The sequence below is a fragment of the Homo sapiens genome, chromosome 4 (genome assembly GCF_000001405.40).
Source record: "Homo sapiens chromosome 4, GRCh38.p14 Primary Assembly".
NCBI classification, from domain to species: Eukaryota; Metazoa; Chordata; class Mammalia; order Primates; family Hominidae; genus Homo; species Homo sapiens.
In genome coordinates, this window is record NC_000004.12 from 77,942,663 (window position 1) to 77,970,284 (window position 27,622).

Sequence of the window (27,622 nt, forward strand, 5' to 3'; positions counted from 1 at the left end):
TTTGTTTTGTCTGATATAAGAATAGCTACTCCTGCTCACTTTTGGTGTCCATTTGTATGGATTAATTTTTTTCCCACCTCTTTACCTTAAGTTGATTTGAGTCCTTATGTGTTAGGTGAGTCTCTTGAAGACAGCAGATACTTGGTTGGTTAATTCTTATCCATTCTGCTATTCTGTATCTTTTAAGTAGAGCATTTAGGCCACTTACATTCAACATTAGTATTGAGATGTGAGGTACTATTCTATTCATTGCGTTATTTGTTGCCTGATACCCTTTTTTAAAATTTATTATGTCCTTGTTTTATAGGTCCTGTGAGATTTATGTTTTAAGGAGGTTCATTTTGGTGTGTATTTCAAGGATTTGTTTCAAGATTTAGAGCTCCTTTTAGCAGTTCTTGTAGTGCTGGGTTGGTAGTGGCAAATTCTCTCAGCATTTGTTTGTCTGAAAAAGATTGTGTATTTCCTTCATTTATGAAGCTTAGTTTCACTGGATGCAAAATTATTGGCCAATAATTTTTTTTTTAAGGAGGCTGAAGATGGGGCCCTAATCCCTTCTAGCTTGTAGGGTTTCTGTGGAGAAATCTGCTGTTAATCTGATGGGTTTTCCTTTTTAGGTTACCTGGTGCTTTTCCTCACAGCTTTTAAGATCCTTTCCTTCATCTTGGCTTTGGATAACCTGATGACTACGTGTCTAGGCAATGATCTTTTTGTGATAAATTTCCCAGGTGTTCTTTGAGCTGCTATGTATTTAGATCTCTAGCCACGCTGGGAAGTTTTCCTTGATTATTCCCTCAAATATGTTTTTCAAACTTTTAGATTTCTTTTCTTCCTCAGGAACACCAATTATTCTTAGTTTTGGTCATTTAACATAATCCCAACTTTTTGGAGGCTTTGTTTATTTATTTATTTTGATTCTCTTTTCTTTCTCTGTAGATTGAGTTAATTCAAAAATCTTGTCTTCAAGCTCTGAAATTCTTTATTCTGCTTGTTCGATTCTATTACTGAGACTTTACAGTGCATTTTGCATTTCTTTTAAGTGTGTCCTTCATTTCCGGAAGTTTTGATTATTTTTTATTTATGCTATCTGGTTCACTGAACATTTTTCCCTTCATATCTTGTATCACATTTTTTATTTCATTAAGTTGGACTTCACCTTTCTCTGGTGCCTCCTTGATTAGCTTAATAATCGACCTTCTGAATTCTTTTCCTGGCAATTCAGGGATTTCTTCTTGGTTTGGATCCATTGCGATCCATTGCTGATAAGCTAGTGTGATCTTTTAGGGGGATGTTTAAGAACTTTGGTTTTGTTATATTATCACAATTGTTTTTCTGATTTCTTATTTGGGCAGACTACATCAGAGGGAAGTTCTGAGGCTCAAGGGCTGCTGTTCAGATTCTTTTGTCCCACCAGGTGTTCCACTGATGTAGTGCTCCCCTCCTTCCCCTAGGGATGGGGATTCCTGAGAGCCAAACTGTAGTGATTGTTATTTCTCTTCTGGATCTGGCCACCCAGCAGTTACCAGGCTCCAGGCTGGTACTGGGGCATGTCTGCACAGAGTACTATGATGTGAACTGTCTTCAGGTCTCACAGCCATAGATAGCAGCACAGTTTTTCAGCTGTCTCTGGGGCCTGTCGCAGCAATCCACTTCCTTCAAAGGGTCTGTGGGCTCTCCTGATCCACCTTTGTCTCACATTACCTTATGCTGGTCCCTCTGCCTAGAAGATCCTCTTTGTCCTTCAAAATTCTCCATCCTTTAAGACTCAGCTTAGATACTACCTTTTTTCGTGATGAGTAAAGCCTTCCGTGTCAATTACTTCTTCCTCTGTGCCCTTGTAGCACTTCGTTCATATAAAGTGGTATTTCTTATGTTGTGTTTTAGTGTCTAGATTGTAATCTCAAGGGCGAGGTTTGTATCTTATTCGTCTTCCTGTTCCTGGTTCCATGTGTTGCTTGACAGAGTGAGGGTTAAGTAAATGTTGCTAAGTTGTATGGTATTAACATCTAAAAATTAGGAAGGCACTAAAGGATTCATTAGGCAGAGAGAAAAATTCTTATTTTTCCATCTTAAATGTATATTCTTTTAGTGTTTCACTTAGTTTCCCTTTTTCTCCCCTTAGTATACAACACGCTCACTTGTGTTTCTCAGACAACTGATACTTCATTTTCCTTATATAAAGATCACGAACTTGTAATAGCTGTGTCCAGAGTCATAAGCTAGTAAGGTGGTGGAAGTGGGGTTTGTCTGCCTTAAGTGCTCAGACACGTAGCTACTTGGCCACTCCTTACCATGTGTGTGCTCATGAATAAGTTACAGAGTTTTCTGAGTCTCAGTTTATAAGTGTAAATAAAGGATAATAATAGCACCTACCTCATAAGGTTCTTGGGAGAAATGAATAAGAATATCTATGTGAACACTCAGAGTTTGGCCCAAAGTAAGTACCCAATAAACAGAGCTGCACCATCAATTATTATTATTATTATTATTATTATTATTATTATTATTATTACTACTACTACTACTTTATGTTATGTAGGAGACATACAGATAACCTTTCTTTTCTTGGTTTAGACTGTTAGGAGTCATGGAAATTAAGAGTTTTGGCTCATCTTCAAAAGCTGTCTGCCAGGCCACACTTTATATAGTCTTAGAATATTACATTTGGAAGAGATTTTGGAGGACAACTGGTCTAACAAGTGCTTATCCAAAGCAGCAGTCCTCTCTTCAGTTTTCAGTCAAAGGTGATTAGTCATCTAGAGACTATCAGAACAGTTATAGTTAATAGAAGCTGCCACTTTAGAAGGAACATGTGATTGTTTAAAAATCATGTATGTGTACTTTGCTTTTTTTTTTTAAGTTCTGTCTTCTGTAAGATTGTAAAAATCCTTTATTCACATTGTAATCCTTTATCGGGGGAACCTGCCCCCAATATTTCATCGTAAGTTCTTTCTATTTTCCATAAGTGTCGGCCGGCTGAGAAATAAAGAGTATAAAGAGAGGAATTTTACAGCTGGGTCTCTGGGGGTGATATCACATATCGCTAGGACCGTGATGCCCACCTGAGCCACAAAACCAGCAGGTTTTTATTGAGGACTTCAAAAGGGGAGGGGGTGTACGAACAGGGAGTAGGTCACAAAGATCACATGCTTCAAAGGGCAAAAAGGAGAACAAAGATCACATGCTTCTGAGGCCAATAAAGATCACAAGGCAAAGGGCAAAGCAAAGATCACAAGGCAAAGGGGAAAATCAAAAACTCCTGATAAGGGTCCATGTTCAGCTGTGCACGTATTGTCTTGATAAACATCTTAAACAACATAAAACAGGTTTCGAGAGCAGAGAACTAGTCTGACCTCAAATTCACCAGGGTGGGGTTTTTTCCCCCACCCTAATAAGACTGAGGGTGCTGCAGGAGACCAGGGCGTATTTCAGTCCTTATCTCAACCGCGTAAGACAGACACTCCCAGAGCGGCCGTTTATAGACCTCCCCCCAGGAATGCAATTCTTTTCCTAGGGTCTTAATATTTAAAAGAATTGAGCGATATTGTTCCTACTTGCACGTCCATTTATAGGCTCTCTGCAAGAAGAAAAATATGGCTCTATTCTGCCTGACCCCACAGGCAGTCAGACCTCATGGCTCTCTTCCCTTGTTCCCTAAAATCGCTGTTATTCTGTTCTTTTTGAAAGTGCACTGATGTCATATTGTTTAAGCACACGTTTTACAATCAATTTGTACAGTTAATGCAGTCATCACAGTGGTCCTGAGGTGACTGACGTACATCCTCAGCTTATGAAGATAACAGGATTAAGAGATTAAAGTAAGACAGGCGTAAGAAATTATAAGAGTATTATTTGGGAACTGATAAATGTCCATGAAATCTTCACAATTTATGTTCAGAGATTGCAGTAAAGACAGGTATAAGAAATTATAAAACTATTAATTTTGGGAACTGATATATGTCCATATTAAAATGAAATATTCACAATTTATGTTCCTCTGCCATGGCTCCAGCCAGTCCCTCCCCTCCATTCAGGGTCCCTGACTTCCCACAACAATCCTTAGTCCTCCAAAATATTTGGACAGACTAACCTCTGTAGTAGTGGTTCTCAGAGTGTGGTCCAGGGATCCTTTTTAACTCAGACACTTTCCCCAGGAGTCTTTCTTCTTTTATCCCCTTTCTTTTAAATCAGAGAATCTATGAAGACCCTGGTATTGTAGACTAAGTTCTTTGTGTGCATTTTTCTGTAGCAAGACTCAGTGACCTAAAAATGTTTAAGAATCACTGGTTTGGACATGCTTGTGATTATATTTTGCCCTGAGATGAATTATGACATGTGCATCTCAATGGGACAAAAAAAAAAAAAAAGTTAAGAACCACTGATTTTTAGTTTTCTCATAATGATAAGAAAGTTATTGAATAAAAAGGTTAGGAATTACACAAAAAAGGAAAATCTGAGTGTTAAAACAGAGATAGAGACATAAAGTTCACCTGTGTCCACTGAGCCACTACCCTGACATCTTTTGTAGAAGTCTTCCCATCTAGTCTGCTTAGGGAATGGTTTCCGACATAGTAAGGGTTGCTAAGCAGACAGTAAGATTCAGTAAAGTGGTCTTTTTGTTTGAAAACATGTATGCTTCAGAATAAGGAATAACTGTTTTGTCTTGCAGTGGATAATCACTTTAGTTAAACATATATAGTTTTGTGACTGTTAAATATTCAAATACACACATATGCACAGGCACAAATATGGTGCTTAACATAGTCCTATATCCCCTTCAAGATCAACCCTGTCCCTGTTTGTTTTTCCCTTGCTGTACCAAATCATATAATGTGCTATTGGTAATATAATGGATAATATTATCTCCTCAAAGTAGTCATCCTGCCTCCGTAAGACCACAAAATGTTATTACATGGGAAAGCACTATTGGAAGTGCAGACTAACTGAGAAGTAGGCAGAAAACCTTGCAAGTTTGCTTTCCTGAGTTCTCTCTAGAACATTGTCATCCCAAATGAATTTCGTTTGCAAGTTTTGATAAAACTCATGCACATATACATTTTGTTTGCCTACACAGCTATCTTGTCATTAGCCAATTAAATAATCACAGTAATGCCTATGAGATATGTAACATTTCCATAATTTTGCACAATATCTAAAATAAAAAGTATTATAGCTGTACATATATTTTAAAATTCAGTAGAGGGCACAGTACTATATATTAAAGTTGCTAAAATTTGAATAAAAGTATAAACTGTGTTTTAAAACATTTTTGTGGTTTTTTTAAACTTAAATTGATAAAATCATTGAAACCATCCTAATCATGAAAGTTGCAGGGAACATAATTGTTTTATATTTCTGAAACATTTATTGTCATTTTAGCTTGCTAGAGGAATGGCAATATAAAGCTGCAGAAAGTATAGTTACAAAAATCTGAGAAGTTTAATGTATATAATATACCAATATAGATTATAACTGTTTAAAAAGATAGGTTGGAAACCTTGCTTTTTCTTTATCTCTTTTCCAAATTTTAAGTAGGTATAGGTCTTTAGCGGGGGGTGTAGAATTGATTAGAGCTGTGATGGTTACTTCAGTTGATGATAGAAAGAAGGACAATTTGAGGTAAAGTAGAGAATTAAGAGGGGAATTGAAGGCAGGGACACATGCTGATGCCTTTAGCCTTTTCTTTTTTATTTTTCAACATAAAATATGTAAGGTGCCTTCCCTGCCAGTGAACTACTTGCTTCAATGTAAATTAAAGTCTGTACGGTGTATGGACTTAATAAGGTGAACTAAGCATTGCTTTTATTTTTTTTCCTCTCAGAACTTCTAGTTAAGGATTGGCATAAAGTGAGAATTCCTGCAGTAATGTCCAACCTTTCTCATTTAGGATTTGGTACTGCATCATGCCCAAGTGGGTGTTGAATAAATGCTGTTGGATGATGATAAAAGGATTTTTTAAGGAGGAATTCTCTTTATGCTTATGCGGGGCACATTTCTCACAGTGCTCTCAGAGTCTTTGGAAAACAGAAATCTTGTTTGAACTTCAACTGTTGTACTGTATAAATTTTGCCTGTTAAGCTACTATAATTTTATATGAATCTTCTTCTTCTTCTTTTTTTTTTTTTTTTGAGACAGAGTTTTGCTCTTGTCGCCCAGGCTGGAGTGCAGTGGCACAATCTCAGCTCACTGCAACCTCCGCCTCCTGGGACCAAGCGATTCTCCTGCCTCAGCCTCCCGAGTAGCTGGGATTACCGGCATCTGCCACCACACTTGGCTAATTTTTGTATTTTTAGTAGAGACAGGGTTTCACCGTGTTGGCCAGGCAGGTCTCAAACTCCTGACCTCAGGTGATTCGCCTGCCTTGGCCTCCCAAAGTGCTGGGATTACAGGCGTGAGCCACCGTGCCCAGCCGTGAACTTTTAAAAATTGATTTATTTGGCACAGTGCAAAATCCTGTAAACATTTGAATGTAATATAACGGATTTTAACTGGAATATTTAGGAAGAATAAGAGTAATTGAATTTGAATAATAAACAGAAAGACTTTTCAAGGGTGTAATTTGGGTTTAGGAGTTTTATGAATAGAACTCATTCACTGTATATTTACTTACTGCTAAATGACAAGATAATTGTTATTGCATAGTGTTTGAAAAATTAGAATGTTAGCACAACATCCTGAAATTGTCTCTGTGTGAGATATGTATTATCTGAATGCATGTAGCAAGCAGTTTTATTTTGGACTCAAGAAAACATTAATTTCTAGACATTTTCTTAGTTTCCTTTAAATCAACAAACTTCATGAGAAAATGTCACTGTTTTCTTGGGGGGTGCGTGTAGGGAATGATGTATTCTGCTCCAAGATATGCTTTAGGGAAATTACTTGGAAGTCAAGGATTCTCAAGTGGAAAAACTTCAACTTCAGTTTGCTATAATATGTTCTATAAATCTATTAAATCTTGACATGTGAAGACATGTAAATGTGGCATTCGAAACAAAGAGCTATAGAGGTTTTCCCCTTTCACAGTAGGGTCATTTACTAGATAATTTGCATTGGTTGACTATTTGAAAAATAGTCTAGAATAATTTATTATCTTCTTGCTTTCTCATCATTAATGTTATGTATATTATTTTCTTTCAGTTGGATATGTCAAGTGACCAGATAGCTGCCAATCTGCAAGCAGTTATTAATGAAGTTTGTAGGCACAGACCGCTGAATTTGGGTAAGTGGTTTGCTGAGGGTAGACTTCCCTATGACCCTGTGAAACTTTAAAATGTAAAATATGAAGAAAAAAGTCAAATTAACATGCAAGTATAATAGCAAAATGTAAAATATTAAATAAAAAATCAAGTTAACATGCAAGTTTTATATTTCCAGGGATTAAATAAATAAAATTTAATTCTCCAAAGGATTTCTCTAGCATTAATAAGGAATGCATCCTGAAACCTTTGTAGATTCCCACATTATTACTAATAATAGATGTAGCAAAGTTTGAAAGAAAACTGTAACTGATTGCTTTAAACTTACAATGATGTTAGGGACTAAAATTATTTCTAAAATGATATTTTGAAACCAGATCATTCACTTTGTCATTGGCACTAGCAATTAGTTTTCTTAATCTTATTTATTTATTACAGGACAGAAAGAAGATCATTTTATTATGTCATGAGAGTCATTTATAAATGAGGTGACTCATAGAGAATCACTCAACTCAATTGAGATGTGGAAGCTGTGTAGTAGGCTAGAACACAGGCATCCAGTTTCTTTATCATTGCGTTGTGTGCTGTTCAAATTCCTTCCTCAGACAAATTTCACTTGTGGCTGCTTGAAGCCAAGCAAGGGTCCATTATACTCAATTGACTACTCATTTGTAGGCTTACCATGATAAGAATTTGTCAGGTTTAGTTTTATAACCAAGTTTATAATTAAAACACAATCTTAAGCTATTTTTTACCTTCTTTGGGAGTTAACCATACTGGTGAATAAATACCACCCTTGTTAATTTTCTTGCCCTAAATATGGCCATACTACTAAGTAATTGGATGTGTATGGATTCTTAGAGTCCACAGATAACTTTGATTTCAGTACAGGATCCTCTTGAGACAATAGTAGGAGTAGATGATGGACAGTAAATCCTCAAAATGTTGTTATTCTCTTTTTGCTATTTCATATGAAGCCCCTTAGCATGTTTAAATGTTGTGATTCTCTTTTTGCCATTTTATTTTAGTTTTTGAGACGGAGTCTCACTCTGTCACCCAGGCTGGAGTGCAGTGGTTTGATGTCAGCTCACTGCAACCTCCGCCTCCCGGGTTCAAGCAATTCTTCTGCCTCAGCCTCCCAAGTAGCTGGGATTACAGGCACCTGCCACCATGCCAGCTAATTTTTGTATTTTTAGTAGCGGTGGGGTTTCACCATGTTGGCCAGGCTGGTCTCGAACTCCTGACCTCAGGTGATCCACCTACCTTGGCCTCCCAAAGTACTGGGATTACAGGTGTGAGCCACGGTGTCCGGCTGTCTTTTTGCTATTTTAAATGAAGCCACTTAACGTTGTTCTTATGAAAAGCATTTTAGTTTTTAGGGAATTTTACCAACTGTGTGGTAACACAAAGGTAGCATCTGTGCTGACTGTTTTAAATAAATATTTATAACATTTCCATCAAATGTAAATATCACCACCTGCTCCCTTCACTGTTGCCTTTGCAATAAAATAAATTCTAGGTGATCATCTTCTGGAAGAGAGAAATGAATTATTAGTGAGTGTGTGTAGTTTGAAGGATAAATCTCTAATATTCTAGAGTACAACTAGTTTGTCTTCTATTCTAGAAATGAAACTATCTTCCCCTTCTTATAATTCAAAATATTAGTTCAGTAATACAGTACTTTTCACTGAAAATATGACATGAGTTCTATAAGTTTTCCTGTTGTATATTTGTACAGCAGGTCCTTGAATAACATCCTTTTGTTCAATGTTATTTTATTATAACATTGATAAGAAAAAAATAGATTCCTGGCCAGAGCCACTGTCTGTGTGGAATTTGCATGTTCTCCTCATGTCTGCATGGATTCTCTGGGTACTTCGGTTTCCTCCCGCATCCCAAAGGTGGCATGTTAGGTTAATTGGTATGTCTGCATGATCCCGGTGTGAGTTAGTGTGTGGGTTGTGTACGTGTGCCCTGCAATGAGATGCTGCTTATCCGGAGATCATTCCCACCTATGCTCTGACCTGCCAGGATAGGCTTTGGCCTCCCACAACCCTGGACTGGAATAAGGGAGTTGGAAGATGAATTAATGAATACAAACTATTGTAAAATAAAAATGGGCAAAGTATATGATAATCATACAAATGCAGGACAATAAATGATGTGGTATGAAAGCACTCAGTGAGGCAACCATATTTGTTAGTTTGTTTTTGAACTGCACGGTGGCAGAAGGCGCTTCTTACAGTTTTCACTTTGCAAACACTTAGTCTTTGATTTAAGTCACCACCACTATGACTCCTGTCACTCTGATTCACCCACAGTTGGGTAAATAATTATTGCTTTTATTAATCTTAAATGTATTTATAGTTCAAATTTATTTCAATGGTTAATATTAGAAGTGTTTGAGCTCTTTATTTAGAAGCTTGGTGATATTTTTGTGACTAGAAATATGCCTGAGAAACTTAACTCTTATTAATTAGCCTACGGTACAATTGGTTTCTTTATAAGTTGTTTTGCTTAAAGTTGCAGTTTCCAAGAACCTAGTGACAATATTAAGTGAGGACCTACTTTATTTGCTCATGAGGTGGTATTGCGATATAAAAATCAAAGTTGATTCTCGTTTTTGTTTCCAGGTCCCTTTGTGGTACGTGCTTTCCTTCGTAGTTCAACAAGTGAAGGTTTATTACTGAAGATTGATCCATTGTTGCCTAAAGAAGTAAAAAATGAAGAAAGTGAAAAAGAAGATGCCTAAATGTGGTGAATTGTGAAATTACTTTCAGTGGTTTAAGAAGCAATGGAGAAAATGATAATACAGCATAATTTTTACATTTGATGTCTTGTTATTGATCATACTTGAAAGTGAACTTTAACATTGAAAAATCGTACAGTCATTTCAAGAATAAGAAAATAAAATTTTCTCTTTGTCTGAACCTGCCTTTTAGACCCTGTGACATTTTCTTTTTTAGAATCCAGAGTCTACGTACTGGTAATTATAGCAGCAGTTTCTGGCTTAATAACTTTCCCTTGGGAGTCATAACCATCTGAGGGAATAGTAACATCCTCAGTTCCCATAAAGCAGAAAATGGCAGAATCATGAGCTACATCACAAATATAGCTATTTTCTTTTAAAAAAAAAAAGAAAATAAGCATTCTAAAGTATTCTGAATACTATTTGTGATAGCATGAATATAGAAAATTACTAAGTCACTAAACCGTATGTTGGGTAATCTCTTTTTAGGAATCAGTTTGTAATTATATATATAATATGTATATGTAATATATATTATTATATAATTATATATGTAATATATACATTTGTAATAATACCACATATTTTTATGATGCTTTGTAGTCTACAAGGCACTGTATGCAGTGTTTTCATATACGTGACCTCATTTGCTCCTGAATTTCTCTGCTTAATAGTATAACAAGTGTTTGGTTAGTGTTTATCGAATGAACATTCCCATGAAGTAGCTAGAACAACTTCATTCATGGATTAAAAATCAGGCCAAGAAGTAAAGCACCTTGCATCAAGTACCAGTTTGCAGACCGATGTTAATCCTTAAGTGCTTACTGATATATGACAAAGTGAAAAAAATAAGGATAATTTTTGGCATGCAGTTGCCAGCTGTCCTTTCTTGGGAATGATTACTTGAAGTATCTTCCACTTTTTTAGGGATTATTCGAATGAGTTTTCTTTTATGAAATAATAGTGATGGTGACTTTGTTGGTGGGGTTTAAATACCTACTTTGTTTTTTGTTTTGTTTCATTAATGCACCTCATTTTATTTTAGTTTTGGTGTTGACTTGCCAGCTCTAGCTTTTCAAGGTAAAATCTTTTTTGAAGAAGAGCTGGGTAACACAATTCTCACAATCCAAAATGTATGATTTTAAAACAATTGGATTTCTAATAACACGAATTATTTTGATTCATTTTGCATTGATCTATTTGGGAACCATAAATCTGCCTAGAGCACACAGAATCTGCACACTCAACTTGGCCAAGGAATAGACATGTTTCAAGATGAAGTTCATCACTACCAATGAAGTATTTATTCTTCCCAAGGCTGTTCTGCTTAAATCTAATCAAGCTTATAGACCTACATCTCAGTTTACAGAAGATATAGGAGATGGCGGGACAAATCAACTGACCTCAAGTGGGAATAATTAGGCCAGTTCAGAATGTGGGATGTTATACAGTTCAACCCTCCCAGCCTCATAGAAACAAGCAGAAGGAGAAACCATTAAAGAGAATTCAGACATAACAATTAACTCTAGTGTGGGTTAGTGATAAATGCATAGTTTGAAAACATCAGCTGTACAAGACATTTGAGGGAAAATTGATTAATACCTACTTTGTAAAGGAAATTTTGACAGCTCCATATAGGTCTCCCAAATTCTTTTTGAAATGTTAGTGATCTGAGAAGTCCAAATGACTGAATAGCCACAGTACCCCACTAAGCTTTTTTATCCCCCCACAGAAAAATTAAAACTTAGGGGTTGCTTACCCAAAACAGCAATAACATTACTAGAAAACAATAACAGCAGTTACCTTTTACTGAGTGCTGCTATGGTTTGAATGTGCCCCTCAAAAAGTATGTGTTGGAAACTTAATCCTCAATGCAACAGTGTTGGGAGATGAGGCCTCATGGGAGGTACAAGTCATGAGGGCTCTGCCCTCATGAATGGATTAATGCTTAGTATAGTCATCGGAGACTCAGAAGAGAGGGAGGGTGGGAGGAGGATGGTGAGGGTTGAGAAATTAACAAGTACAGTATACACTATTTGGGTAATGGTTACATTAAAAGGCCCAGGCCACCACTAAGCGATGTATCCGTGTAACACAACTATACTTGTACCTCTTAAATTTATACAAATCGTAAAAAAATAAAAGGGCTTAAGACTGCAAGGAACTCTTGGGCACACCTTGCATGCTTGCTTGCTCTCTCTTCCTCCCCGACTTACCTCCTCTTGCCCTCTCTTGCCCTTCTGCCTTCTGCAATGGGATGACCACAGCAAGAAGGTTATCACTAGAAGCCAGCTGCTCACCATGGTCTTCCAGCCTACAGACTGCAAGGAATTAATCTCTGTGCTTCATAAATTACCTTCTCAGGTATTCTGCTATAACAACACAAAACAGACTAACAAATGCATACTACCATCTTATACTTTAGATGCATCCTCTCATTTCATCCTCACAGCAATTCACTGAGCAGAGTGGTACTCCCATTTCACAGATAAGGAAAGTGAAACTTGCAGGAGGTCTCCTAAGTGGCAAAGATTTAAACCCAGGTCTATCTAATTTTAAAGCCCTTAGGCTCTTTTAACCATTGGGCTATTTTACCTCTTTTTTAAAATATATATTCTAAGATCAACCATTTAATTGAACAGTTTTAAAATTTTAAAATATTGAATAATCACCTTCAGTTTCTTGGTATTTCTAGTTAATGAATTACGGCAGGGCTGATGTGAAGGAAGTAGAAGTAGAAGAGTTAGAGTGGGATGAGGAAAGAGTAATGTAGGATGGAGAGGAAAAGATACCTACCCATTTCCCACAGTTGTTTTTTGAAAGCTTACAGATTAATCATTATTTGAAGATCTCAGTTCACAAAGTAGAAGCTCTGCTATTTGTAGATTTTATTTTAATTAATGGATAAGTCATTATTGAAAAATTTATTGAAAAATACTGATTAAATATTTTTAAAATCACTCATAATCTATTACTCAAGGATAACCAGCATTAATATTTTAGTACTTTGTTGTCTTCAGTTGTGAGTGTGTATGTATCTGTGTGTGTACATGTTATAAAGTAAGCATTTCCTATATTTAAAATGCCATATGAAAAGCATCATTTTAATGGTTGAACAATATTCCATCCTGTTGATGTTCTATTTTATGGACTCATTCCTCAATTGTTGTACATTTAACTAACTCCAGGATCCCCTTCCCCCCATTATTTACAGTGCTTTGGAGAAATCCTTGGAGCGTAATTTATTTTCTAATTTTTAGAAGTGGCATTCCTGGGTCAAAAGGTCTGATGTGACTAAAAGACCTTATTATGTCTTAGAAAGGTAACTTACTGAGCAGAACAAGCCAGAATAAGGAAATATGGTTGGAAAATTTGCTCTAGGCAGGAACATTCCAGGGTCTTATTAACTGGCCTATGAATAAATTACTCTCCACTCTTCCATTAGAGCATTTTTCCTATTGGCTAACTAGAGCTTTGTTCAGTGTATGCTTCTGGAAAAAGAGTAAAATCACACTATATTACTAAATTTAAATCTCTTTTTTTCTTAGAGAACAGTAAATCAAATCTTTTTTCTTCATTTTGTTTTTATTATAGCAAAATGAAGAAAAATTTTCCTTCATAAAATAAAGTTTTTTATTTCTGTTTGCTTAATTTACAACAAGCAGAAAATAAGCTGGGTCTTGCTTTGATCCAAATATTGATGTTTTAAAAGCTGTACACAATATTTGTTAAAGAGAACTATAAAATGCCTTTTTAGAAGCTTCTACAAGAAAAAAAGTAGAAAGTTTAGCCCTACAACTTTCCTCTCCGCTAGAACTGCAAACTACTGCTACAGTTTTAAATACACTTTTTGTTGTTTATACATCCAGGAAAATCTTTAAAAAATAAAAAAACATGCATATAAATGATTGCGTAGCAGAACAGAACATTAACTGCAAACACTAAAGAAATGGAAGAAATACTATCAAATATACAAAGGTCCTACAATCAACCCCTTAAGCACTTAGCATGTAGTATTTAAAAATCATCGTTTTGTTCTCAGTCTAATACTCTCCCAATTGAGCTATCTCAGCTTACTGCCATCGTTTTGTTCTCTACAGACAAAGCCTAGATTACTAAAAACAACTGAAATAAGTAATCCTCTTAAAGGAATTGCTTCTCCATAATTCTTACTTATATCTTTAAGCAAGCAATCTGAGATTTTAAAAGGTGCTAGCTTTTTATGCAATATGAGATTAGACATGTCAAGTCACTTTTGTCCCCAAAACAATCTTTCAGAGGAGTACTAGAAATTATAAATGGTAAAGGGTATTATTTCTTTATTTTTAGTCAGGTACTACACTGGTAGTCAAAAATTCAAAAGATGTGACTCATGCTTAAAACTGACTAATCTTTTTTTCCAAAATCATTTTAAATTTCATGGCACCACAGAATCACCTAGAATGAATGTGTTGTTTTTGAACTTGCCTCACATTAAATAAACTGAGGTGCGAAAAGCAAGCCTCCCACATAAAGAAGCAGGCAAATTTTGATACGAATGTATAGACCAAGTGCTGTAAGCATCAACATTTCAGTTATTTTACACTATACACCCGCCCCCGACACATAGCCTACTTTGAAACAATTCACTCGTTTCTAAGGGCAGTAAGAAAACTAAGCAATGTTATGGTCAACAGTACTTCTTAAATTTTAGAATAACCACATAAGAACATTCTTTTCCCCTTAAAATTGTTTCTGCCATCATTGACCCCCTCAAATTTTAAGGTGAGTCTTTCTGATGTTTTTTTGTTCCAAGTCTATAGAAATCAGAAAAAAAGCAAAGGCTCCATGTTTCAGTCAAAAACTTAATCTCCTTGAAAATACTACATAACTCAGTTGGCATTATTCCCCAAGACGGTGGAGTTAACAAAAGAACTAATCCACATTGCATCATAAACTATTATCAAGGGCCTAGACATCTTGATAAGACATAAAGGTCCACACTGAACCTAAATGTGTCTGAGCAGTCAGTGTTGTACTGTGGCCACAACTTCACTTTTGTAACACTCTATCTTACTCCTTCCTAGGTTAACAGTTCTACCAAATATTAATATGAAAGTTTAGTAAGACAATGTTGCAAATTATGGTTAACCAACATCTTTTCACCAAATACTTCAAGCATAAAAACGAGAATCTTTACAAAAATATACACAGACACAACAAATTGGTAGCTGCCCATAGCACTAAACAAACTGGACTCAAGAGTGGCTTCTCAACAGCATGTCATTTTAATATAACCATTGCCTGGTACAGGGAAAACTAACAAGTGTTTGTTAAACATTGTATTCCTGATAATTTAAGCCAATCTATGAGCGAATGAACGATACGTGCCTAAAAATGATCATGGTTTATACTATCAGTAGCCACTGGATTTAGGACTAGTCCAAGATCTTGATCTAGATTTTGACCTAGGCCTAGACTGTGACCTTGACTGGGATTTGGAACAAGGCGGTTCTTTTTTCCTTGATTCCTTTTTATGTCTTGAGCAAGACTTGTAATATGTTTTGGAATCTGTTTTAGAGGTGCCTCTAGTTTTGGCATGCGATGCAGACCTAGAACACGATTTAGCCTTCATTTCTTTCTTGGGCTGGGACTTGGACCTTGATCTTGAATTGGATTTAGATCTTGAAAAAGACTGATTTCAGTGTTTGACTCTATCATTGCTGGAATGGCTTCTGCTACACCATGGTCTTCCAGTCCATCCACTCTTTCTAGGACTACAAGATCTTCTATAGATGTAAGCAAAAGACCGACTTCTTGATCTTCTTTCATAACTTTGGCTTCTAGAACATCTATATCTGTCATAATCATAGCGTGAAGAACTGTACACACTCCTACCTTCCTTTGCTTTCATCTGATTTGGGGTCTTCCAATCCCCCTGTGCAAACTGTTTCCATTTGACATCCACAAATCCACTTTCTGTCCAAATTATGTAAAGCATCTTCAGCATCACGAACATCTTCCAATTGAACATAAGCAACTCCTCTTGGACAGTGAGTGTAGAAATCAAGTGGAACATACACATCAACTATAGGATCATAATGACCAAATTCATGCCATAAATCTTTGAACCTGCTGTTACTGGCTCCATTCCTGATGAACAGAGGCACCTTGGAGGACGCAGGTAGCTGGACGTGACCGCTGTGTGAGTCTTAGCGCCAGGGGACACTAAGGGGCTCAGCAAACTGTCCAGCCCCCGGAGGCTGATCCTCAGACACGCACAGCCAGAGGGCTCTACTACAGTTAAATTAATTCTTGTATGTAAAAGAGTAGAAATTTACCGGTTTTGTAGTAAATAATAGTGATTCTCAAACTTTAGCTTGTATCCAAATTACTTGGAGGCTTGCAAAACACAAATTACAGCCCCCCACCCAGTACTCTGGGGTGGACTGTGAACATTTGCATTTCTAACCAGGTGATGGCGAGATGATGATGATGATGATGATGATGATGATGATGATGATGATGATGGTGATGCTTGTCCAGGGACCACACTTTGAGAACCACTGGTATCTACTAATAGTTCTTTTAACCCTGGCTGGATATAAAAATCTCTGGCTTTGGTGCCAGCTTTATTTTAAAACTTTCACAAGTCATTCTGATGCACCAGAGTGGAGAATCACTGGTGTGTGCAATTAGCCAAGTTATAAAAGATATAAAATTTGCAATATAGGTCTAGATTTTAAAAGACAAATGAAAAAAAAATAATGCACTGAACTTAAGAGCCAGGACTAGTTTATAACTTTCTGGACTATCCCTATGTGTAAATAATTTAAATTCTGGGTTCTTACCCTATGGGAAAACAATTCAAGTTCTGTGATCTTCTGTAAAACAAGAACATCATAGGATGATCATCAATGTACTTTCAAACCCAAATTTTATGATATATACCTTTTTAGCAGGGGGCATTTCACACTAAGAAGTGATGTAACATAACATTAATTAGCATTACTAATATAAAAACAAGAACATAAATTTGATGGTTTTATTTATACTGTTTTGTTAACTAGATGCTTAAGATGGGATGGGGGGACCTGTTAAATAATGATTGTTGGTTTTAAAAAAATCTTAATTTTTTACAGCAAGTAGTCAATAACAGAGTCCAGTAGGTGGCGATAACAGCCTTTCATACAACTTAAAAACAGTTGCGTACTTACTGGTCAATAATTGTTTTCTCACTTGCCTGTACAAATAGAAAACACAAAACACTTTATAGGCCACCTGGAGCTTTATTTCAGAGTGAATTTTTTGTTTGTTTATTTCATTCTATTTTGGGAATATAACAGAGGTTGCTTTCTGTTTCTGTGATCATGCGTATTTAGAGGTTTGTAAAAATTCTTTTTAAAACTTTTAGTATAGAATTTTTCAAATATGAAGAAAATACAATAATGAATACCCATTCAGCTTCAGCAATGATCAATGTTCTGCTATTATTCCCATTTTACCTGTCCCTTCCATGTACCCAGCCCCCAGCTTGTCGTCATCCCTTCTGCAGAACTTACAAGCAAATCCCACATATCATGTTACTGAACCTATAGAGCTTTAAAAATTGTCAAGCTATAATTACAAGAAGATTTTAGGTGCATTATTTCAGAACCCATTGTTTTTGTGTTTTACTCTAGCCATTGAGTACCGTTAGTTTTTGTTTGTTTTGTTTGGATTATATTTTTCACATAATAACGAGCCAAACACCTTTTCTAGTGCTTTGAGAACTGTAGTTCTCAAAACGAGGCAGCAGCATAATTAGTCACAAAAGGTTGCATGTAAATATCAATATTTTTAAAATAAAAATTGATATCTTCAATTAAATTTTTGTTTTTTACTTTAAAAATGTTACTATTTTTTTGAGACAAGGTTTTGCTGTGTCATCCAGCACCAGCTGGAGTGCAGTGGTGCGATCACGCTCCCTGCAGCCTTGGCCTCCTGGGCTCAAGTGATCCTCTCACCTCAGCCTTCTGAGTAGCTGGGACCACAGGTACATGCCATGGTGCTCACCATGCTTGGCTGTTTTATTTTTTGTAGAGATGGGGGTCTCACTATGTTGCCCAGGCTGGTCTCGAATTCCTAGGCTCAAGCTATCTGCCCGCATCAGCCACCCAAAGTGCTGGAATTACAGGCACAAGCTCCGGGGCTTGGCTGAATTTTTATTTTTGAATAAAAATATACAATTAGAAATGTATTCTTATCAACAATGGAAGGTATATTTGTATATCTTTTTATCCAAGGTATCCAAAAGAACAAAAAGTTTTACTGTATGGTTTTTATCTAAAACAAATGGAAGCATATTACATTTTGGCAAGTAGAGAAATCAACATAATTAAGAATTTAAAGAAAGAACTCAATGACCCAGAATTCCTAAAACAACCACTTAACATTTTGTTATATTTCCTTTTTCTCCTTCCTATGTGGAGGTCTCCCTCTTCCCTGAAATTGCATGTTTATGTCGGACATAGAGTAGAAGGGAGACATCCCGGTTCTGGAGGTTTTCCACATCTCTGACTCTTCAGTCACTTCCCATTGATAAAAAGCCAACCAAAAAAAAAAAAAAACTCGAAGTATTTGCTAAATGAATAAAAGGCCTAACACTTTCTATATCTCATTATATGCTACCTAAAACTTTATTTTTTCCTTTCTTCTTTTTTTTTGGGTGGGGATAGGGTCTTGCTCTGTTGCCTAGGCGGGAGTGTGGTAGTACGATCACAGCTTACTGCAGCTCAAACTCCTGGGCTCTAGCAATCATTCCACCTCAGCCTCCTGAGTAGCTGGGACTACGGGAGCATGCCACCATGATTGGCTAATTAATTTTTTTTGTAGAGGTAGGGTCTCGCTATGTTGTCCAGGCTGGTCTAAAATTCCTGGCTTCAGGTAATCCTCCTGCCTCGGCCTCCCAAAGTACTGGGATTGCAGATGTAAGACACCGTACTTGGCCTGTAAAACTTTTTTTTTTTAATTATACTTTTAGTTTTAGAGTACATGTGCACAACGTGCAGGTTGTTACATATGTATACACGTGCTATGTCGGTGTGCTGCACCCATTAACTCGTCATTTACATTAGGTATATCTCCTAATGCTATCCCTCCCCCCTCCCCCCACCCCACAACAGGCCCCAGTGTGTGATGTTCCCCAACCTGTGTCCAAGTGTTCTCATTGTTCAGTTCCCACCTATGAGTGAGAACATGTGGTGTTTGGTTTTCTGTCCTTGAGATAGTTTGCTGAGAATGATGGTTTCCAACTTCATACATGTCCCTACAAAGGACATGAACTCATCATTTTTTATGGCTGCATAGTATTCCATGGTGTATATGTGCCACATTTTCTTAATCCAGTCTACCACTGATGGACATTTGGGTTGGTTCCAAGTCTTTGCTATTGTGAATAGTGCCGCAATAAATATATGTGTGCATGTGTCTTTATAGCAGCATGATTTATAATCCTTTGGGTATATACCCAGTAATGGGATGGCTGGGTCAAATGGTATTTCTAGTTCTAGATCCTTGAGGAATCGCCACACTGTCTTCCACAATGGTTGAAGTAGTTTACAGTCCCACCGACAGTGTAAAAGTGTTCCTATTTTCTCCAGCACCTGTTGTTTCCTGACTTTTTAATGATTGTCATTCTAACTGGTGTGAGATGGTATCTTGTTGTGGTTTTGATTTGCATTTCTCTGATGGGTTGGCTTGTAAAACTTTATAATACTGCTTTCAAAGTTGGTTATTGCTTTAATGAAAATTATTTTATTCAAAATTTTAATTTAAAGACAAAAACCTGGTGTTTCCCAAAGGGCAATCAATATATGTATTCAGAAAACTCTGAGGAGTTGTACCATTCGTGGTACAAGGAATTAATTTAGATTATAAGTAAATCACATTTTAAATTAATAATTAAGTATATCTTTAATGCATTGTAGGATAAGATAACTAACATAAAGGCCATGATTTCATGAAATTGTTTCCTAAGATGACATTACAATAGGTAATTACATTTATTTTTAAAACCCATTGAAAATATTAAGTACGTTTATAAATTATATAAATTGCCAAACTATTTTCCAAAGTGGCTATGCCATTTACATTCCCTCCAGCAATGCATGAGTGTTCCAGATTCTCCACATCCTTGTTGACGCTTGGAACTGTCTGTTCTTTCAGCTATTTTAGTGGGTGTGTAGTAGTCATATATGTTTTAAATGAGAAAATGAGTTATTTTGCTGAGAAAGCATATGGGGAAAAATGATAGTAGTTTTCAAACATGTGCCATTTAAAGGATAGAATATATGTACACTATGAAGCTCTGGAAGTAGAGCTAGGCAGGACTAACATAGACTTTATAAAGAAGCAAATTCTGGCACAAAGTAAGGCAAAACTTAAATGCTATGGACTCTCTTGCATAATAGTGACCTTTTTATTGAGTGTATTTATATCCAGCTGTATCAGTGTTCGTCAACTACAGTCAACAGAAATTGACTGACTTAATGAGAGTCATGTATTTTAAGGATATAGAGTGGGTCACAGAATCAAAGGAAAAGCCACACAACTGTAACTTGAAAAGGACAGGAAGCAGCAGGGCAGCGTAAGAGATCTATGTCACAGAAACCAATGAACAGCCTCCTCAGAGAGCTACTGTCAAGGTGAATTATTTCTGTTTTCTGACCTTGTGTCACTCAAGATTTAAATTCTAAGGGGAGAGAATCTGCTTGGCCTAGTTTGGTTTACATGCCCACTTCTTGGTCAGAAGAAGGCAGAATTGATAATCTCACCAAAGTGCATGTGGTAGGGTAGAAGAAATTCCCCAAAGAAATATTGAAGTGACTTTACCAAAAAAAGGGGCTACTGGGTGTTGGGCAGGCAAAACCAACAGATGCCACTATACTAGGTCACTACCTTTGATGACTATTTGGGAGGAATTAGTAGCAGTGATAGGAGGAGGCAACAAAACTTAGACCCATTAATTACTTGAATTTTTATTAAATGTCTTCTCCTACAGTTCTATGAAATCACTAACTACATTGTATTGAATTCATAATACTAACTTCATCACCCTCCAAGTGTTTTTACATACATAGCAAATATTCTTTGGATGCAAAAAAAATTACTAATTGGTTTTTTAGAGGGGAGAGATGCCAATTTCATTTTATTAAACATAAATACAAACATATGTAATTACACATGAACAGATTTCTATGGTAAAAATATTCAATTGATTGCAGTACACTGAGCTCCATAGAGAGAGTGCTGGGGCAAGTGAGAGCCAGATGGGCACTGGGCAACTCTGTGCCTTGTTGAAGAAAGATAACTAAACATGGGTAAAGTAGATCCTAAGAAACCAAGAGGCAAAATGTCATCATATGTGTTCTTTGTGCCATCTTGTCAGGAGGAGCACAAGAAGGAGCACCCAGATGCCTCAGTCAGCTCCTCAGAGTTTTCTGAGAAGTGCTGAGAGGTGAAAGACTACTTCTGCTAAAGCAAAAGGAAAATTGGAAGACATGACAAAGGTAGGTAAAGCCCATTATGAAAGAGAAATGAAAACTTATATCCCTCCTAAAGGGGAGACAAAAAAGAAGTTCAAGGATCCCAATACACTCAAGAGGCCTTCTTCAGCCTTTTTTCTTGTTCTGTTCTGAGTATCACCCAAAAATCAAAGAACATCCTGGCCTAAACATTGGTGATGTTGCAAAGATGCTGGGAGAGATGTGGAATGGCACTGCTGCAGATGACTAGCAGCCTTATACAAAGAACGCTGCGAAGCTCAAGGAAAAATGTGAAAAAGATACTGCTGCATACTGAGCTAAAGGAAAGCCAGATGCAGCAAAAAGGGAGTTGTCAAGGCTGAAAAAAGCAAGAAAGAGAAGAAAGAAGAGGACAAGAAGATGATGAAGAAGATGTTGATGAATAAGTTAATGTTAGCACATTTTTTTCTTGTCTATAAAGAATTTAACCTCCCTGTACACAATTCACTCCTTTCAAACAAAAAAATTGAAATGTAAGTTTGTGTAAGATTTGTTTTTAAACTGTACAGTGTCTTTTTTTATATAGTTAACACACTACCAAATGTGTCTTTAGATAGCCCTGTCCTGGTGGTAATTTCAGTAGGCACTAACCTTGCTTGGTACAGTATGGTGGTATAGCTTGATGAATTTTCCCAAAATAAACATGTACCTAGCACACAGATCAAGAAACAGGATAATTTCAGCACCCTAGAAACCCCTTAGAAACCACTCTCATTCAAGGTAATCACTATTACCACTTCCAAGGCTATATATTTGTTTTGCCTGATTTTGAAAATTACCTTAAATTGAATAATTATCATATGTGATTTGGGGGAGGTCTGGGTTCAGTCATTCAACATTATATTTATGACATTCATCCAGTGTGTAGTTGTAGTTTGTTCGTTCTCATTGTTGTATAATATTCCATTGCTTAAATGTATCACAAATATCCATTCTACTGTTGGTGGACATGTGGATTTTTACAGTTTGGGGTATTACAAATAACGTTGATATGAACATTTTTGTATATTTCTTCTTGTGAAGTTTTAGGGCTATTACAATGATGCTACTTATTAACATTCTTGTCCACTTCTGGTGAAAAGAATATATATGTATTCATAGGTATATATACAACAGAAATGCTTATATATACACATTAGTGTGTGTACACAAATATATGTATTTGTATGTATGTATGAGGTTGGTACAAAAGTAATTGCTGTTTTTGCCATTAAAAACAGCAATTACTTTTGTACCAAGTTTATACGCACATATTTATATCTTGTCCACGTTTGGTGAACATATATATATATATATGAGGGCGATGAACATATGTATAGATAAGATGAACATATATACATGAGGAAAATGAGTATATATATAGTTTGGTGAACATATATATATATTCACCAACAGAAGTGCACAAGATATATACATAAACATTCCTGTTGTATATATACCTAAGCGTGAACTTGCTGGATAGTAACATGCTCCATTACAATGCTCAACACTTTTCCTAAGTAGTTGTACCAATATACATTCCCAAAAGTGTGGAAGATTTCCAACTTCTCCATATTCTTGCCAATACTTGGTTCATTATTTTTTCACTTTAATCATTTTGCTAAATGTGACATTGTCCAGTAATTTTTGAGGGATTTAAAAATCCTGTGAGTGGAGGAGACAGAAGTTAGAATATCACTCTACATTGATTAAAGTTGTAGTATGGTGATCTAGAGTTTTATGGGATTCATAAAATAACTTCTTAAAAATAAAAAGACTTAGAGATGGAAGAAATCTGTTATTTTCTGACTCCCAACAAGTTACTGCCTTCCTGGGAGAGGGGTTAATTCTGTTTGTATTATGCAGTGTAATGAAGAATCCTGTCAGGTTGGTTAGGATACCCAGCTGATTTGAACCCTACCTCCTCTTTATATTTAAATCCCAGTATTTGGTAAAGTCAAGTCTATAAGGTTTTAAGATGTTATTTCTGATACATTATGCAATTTAAATATTACTGCTCTTACCTAGAATAGAGTCTGCAAATTTATGGCACAGATTCTTACCATTCCCCATCCCCATCAGGCACATGACAGATGATGTGAATCACAGAAGACTTTCCCACTGATTTCTATGAGGTCTCAGGGTTGTTTTTTTCCTCACTATACTGCTCCACACAATCACACTGTTGGTTAGAAGTGTCATGGAAGATTCAAACACTTTTGCCTCCTGTACCTCAAGGTACAAGGTAATTTGCTGAATCTTACAATCTTCCCAAGTATTATTGTTGGTTGTCCCTGTAGGAGACTGATTGAAATTTAGGAGGCCGAGGTGGGTGGATCACCTGAGGTTGGAAGTTTAAGACCAGCCTGACCAACATGGAGAAACCCCATCTCTACTAAAAATACAAAATTAGCCAGGCATGGTGGCACATGCCTGTAATCCCAGCTACTTGGGAGGCTGAGGCAAGAGGCAAGAGAACTGCTTGAACCTGGGAGGCAAGAGAATTGCTTGAACCTGGGAGGCAGAGCCGAGATCTCACCATTGTACTCCAGCCTGGACAATAAGAGCAAAACTCCATCTCAAGAAAAAAAAAAAAAGCTATAATTTAAATCTATTATGTTGTCATACTAACTGAGGAGCTGGTTTACTTGTAGTTTAAGTTTAATTCTGTTTAGTTTTAAAATTTTCTTCTTCCTTTATATTTTAATTTTTTAATCTTTTATTTTCATTTGGACTAGGGAAAATTCTGAGAAGATTGCTATAGCTTCATAGGTCAAAGTAATTTAGGGGAAGTGGGTGACAGAGGAGGAAAGATGATACAAATGGATTAAGCATGAATAGGCCAGGCGCAGTGGCTCACGCCTGTAATCCCTGCACTTTGGGAGGCCAAGGCGGGCGGATCATTTGAGGTCAGGAGTTCGAGACCAGCCTGGCCAACATGGTGAAACCCCGTCTTTACTAAAAATACAAAAAATAGCTGGGCCTGGTGGCAGACACCTGTAATCCCAGCTACTCTGGAGGCTGAGGCAAGAGAATCGTTTGAACACAGAAGGTGGAGGTTGTAGTGAGCCAAGATCGCACCATTACGCTCCAGCCTGGGCAACAGGGCGAGACTCCGTTTCAAAAAAAAAGCATGAATTCTGACAATTTAGGGGCTCGCTGGAGAGTATGTAGCTTTAAAGGTCTGTAAGGTTCTGGAATGTGTTGGATGTGTTGATTATGGTATGATATAGATTGATAATAGCATGTTGCTTGAAATTCAAATTTAAAAAATATGGCAATGAATTAAAGATAGGGGTTTTCAAAGAAGAAAGTTAAAGAAAGAGTTATGTCTTTAAAAATGTTTGGCCATGCTGAGAAAACAAAGGTGATAATTAAAATCTAAGGTAAAAGATAATTAAAACATGAGGCAGAAACAGAAAGGAAGGAAGGATGGATAGATAGATAAGAGTTTGGCAGTAGTGGATGAAACCAGAGATCTAAGGAAAAGGAAGTCAGGAAATAAGCTTTAGCATTAGTAGTTTATGCTGAATGTCATACTCCTAACTCCAAGCCTTACAAGATGTGTAAGGCATTCACTTGCCTCTGTAAGCCTCAATCTTTTTTACTATAAAATGATCATAAGAATGGTCACCTGTGGCTCACTGTATTTTAAGGACTAAATCAGGTAATGTAAATGAAATAGCTTTATACTAATTAAATGAATGTAGTATCATAAATACTATGGCAATTATGTGAGCCTCAACACATAATAAGCTCAAATTCGATTTTTAAAAATATTCTGGCTTCTACTTCTGTCTGTAATGGAGTAACTTATACCAAACTTGTCCTTTACTGGTAAACAACTAGAAAACTGGACAATATATATGAAACAACTATTTTTTAATATTGGAAAACATGCAGTGCAGGAGTGCAGTCTCAATGAATGGAAACAAATGAGGTGAGTTCCACAAAATCCCTAGTATTCTGCCTGGAGTCACTTTCCAGAACAGCACAGGAATGAGAAACCAAGGAAAGCATGGCAGTCTCTCTGTGAAAGAGACTGAGACCAGACTTTGGGAAAGCTGTGGCAGCTTCAGTTTGCAGGGCACAGCTCCAGGGTTGTAGGAGCCATTCAGAGAAGCTCTAGGAATCTGCAGAGGGGTTTCATCGAGTCTTTTGCTGTATACTAAGGTGCACATGCATACAGTGAAATGCCACAAGGCCAGACAAATGGCAAGTACTAGAGGACTATAAGTTGAACAATTCCTACAGCTTAAATGTGGCTAAGAGACATTTGAGTTTCAATCGCCAGAGTGACAGGACCTCACTGAAAATCCTGGGAATTCAGTATGTATCCCAGGGTTGTGCCTTAAAATAAGCTTAACAAGCTGTAGAGTAAAACACCATAGACTACTACTAACGAAGTTCAAAAACAACCCCAAAAGGATCAAGATGATTGGCAAAAAACTTACCTGCTAGCCAAATTCACCAATCTAAGTGAAGAAAACAAAATTCAAAAATCTTAAGAACATGGTATTTATAGTGTATGGCATCCAATAAAAGTAAGACATGAGAAGAAGCAGGAAAATGCAAAGAAGAAAATCCGTCAGCAGAAACTGACTCAAATTACAGAGATGAATGAAATAGATGCATCAGAACAATTATAAATGTGTCCAAATATTTAAAGGAAAACATGAGCATAATGAGGACAGAAATCGATGGTATTAAAAACAAACAAGGAAACTTCTAGAGCTGAAAGATGTCATATCTGAATGAAAATTCACCTGATAAAATTATCAACTGATTAGGTATGGCAGATGAAAAGAACAGCGAACTTGTAGATATTGTAATAGAAACTATCCAAACTGAGTTACAGAAAGAAAATAATAATAATAAGAACAGATCCTCAGTAACCTGAGGAGCATTCCAAGTGATCTAACATATGTGTAATTGGAGTTCCTGAAAAGGTCAGAAGAGAGGAGCTGGAATATGTATTTGAAGGAATAATTACTTATATTTTCCAAACAAGATGAAAACTGATTCCTAAATCAAAGAAACTCAACAAACTCCAAGCAGAATAACTGAAAGGAAATGCACTCTAAGGCACATCATATTGAAATCATTGAGAACCAGTGACAAAGTGAAATTCTTAAAAGCAGCCAGAGAAGGCTGGCTGCGGGGGCTCGCACCTGTAATCCCCGCACTTTGAGAGGCCGAGGTGGGCGGATCATGAGGTCAGGAGTTCAAGACCACCCTGGCTAACACGGTGAAATCCTGTCTCTACCAAAAATACAAAAAATTAGGCTGGCGTGGTGGCTGGAGCCTGTAGTCCCAGCTACTCGGGAGGCTGAGGCAGGAGAATGGCATGAACCCGGGAGGCAGAGAGCTTGCAGTGAGCCGAGATGGCACCACTGCACTCCAACCTGGGTGACAGAGCGAGACTCCGTCTTAAAAAAAAAAAAAAAAAAAAAAATCAGCCAGAGAAAACAAACATTAAATACAAGGGTACCAACATAAGAATTGCTACTGATTTTGTGTTAGAAATAATGCAAGCCACAACGCAAGAACTTTGTGTTAGAAATAATGCAAGCCTAAGCCTAAAGAAAGCAATAGGACAAAAACTTTAACATGCTTTTAAAAAAGTTAATTTAGGATTCTTTGTTGAGTGAAAGTATCCTTTAAAAATGAGAGCAAAATAAAGCCTTTTGGACAAACAAAAACAAGGAGTATATGTTTTAAGCAGACCTGAAGTACAAGAAATGTTAAAGTTATTCTAGAAGAAGCAAAATGATACCAGGTACAAACTCATTTCTATGCACATGAATGAAGAGTGCCAGAAATGGTAATATGTGGGAAAACACAAAATGTGTTTTTCTCATTTTTACCATTTCTTAAAAAAAAAAACCTTTGAAGAGCAAATGTACTAACAGTGTATGGTGGGGTTTATAAGAGTTTGAATTAAAATGTATGACAACAGCAGCACAAAGAATGGCAGGGTATGTATTTATGGCTTGGTTCAGGTGAGTGCAATTTTCTGCATTCATCTAGTGTTTTTAGTGGACAAAATCACACATAAACAAGATTAAAATTCAGGCTATGTTAAAATTGTTACCTATCATGTTGTAACAAATTTGCATTCTCAAAAACAAATGTTATAGTAGAACTGACTGTGTAGT

General features: G+C 36.6%; 1 protein-coding gene, 1 long non-coding RNA gene and 2 pseudogenes across 3 annotated transcripts in view; 2 read left to right on the plus strand and 2 right to left on the minus strand.

Annotated features, from left to right (window-relative positions):
- Positions 1-9,848, minus strand: part of LOC102724916 (uncharacterized) — a 34,112-nt gene extending 24,264 nt beyond the window's left edge. Inside the window, exon 1 of the long non-coding RNA XR_001741744.2 lies at positions 9,762-9,848. This is a non-coding gene — a long non-coding RNA (uncharacterized LOC102724916). The remainder of the gene's footprint in view (positions 1-9,761) is intronic.
- Positions 1-10,123, plus strand: part of MRPL1 (mitochondrial ribosomal protein L1) — an 89,956-nt gene extending 79,833 nt beyond the window's left edge. For both annotated transcript variants that reach the window (XM_047416089.1, NM_020236.4), the window contains exons 8-9: positions 7,135-7,216; positions 9,827-10,123. In XM_047416089.1, coding sequence (XP_047272045.1) covers positions 7,135-7,216; positions 9,827-9,945 — 201 coding nt within the window. In that variant the 3' untranslated portion in view covers positions 9,946-10,123. The remainder of the gene's footprint in view (positions 1-7,134; positions 7,217-9,826) is intronic.
- Positions 13,515-16,222, minus strand: LOC100128297 (serine and arginine rich splicing factor 10 pseudogene; annotated as a pseudogene).
- On the plus strand, positions 21,278-21,868 carry HMGB1P44 (high mobility group box 1 pseudogene 44; annotated as a pseudogene).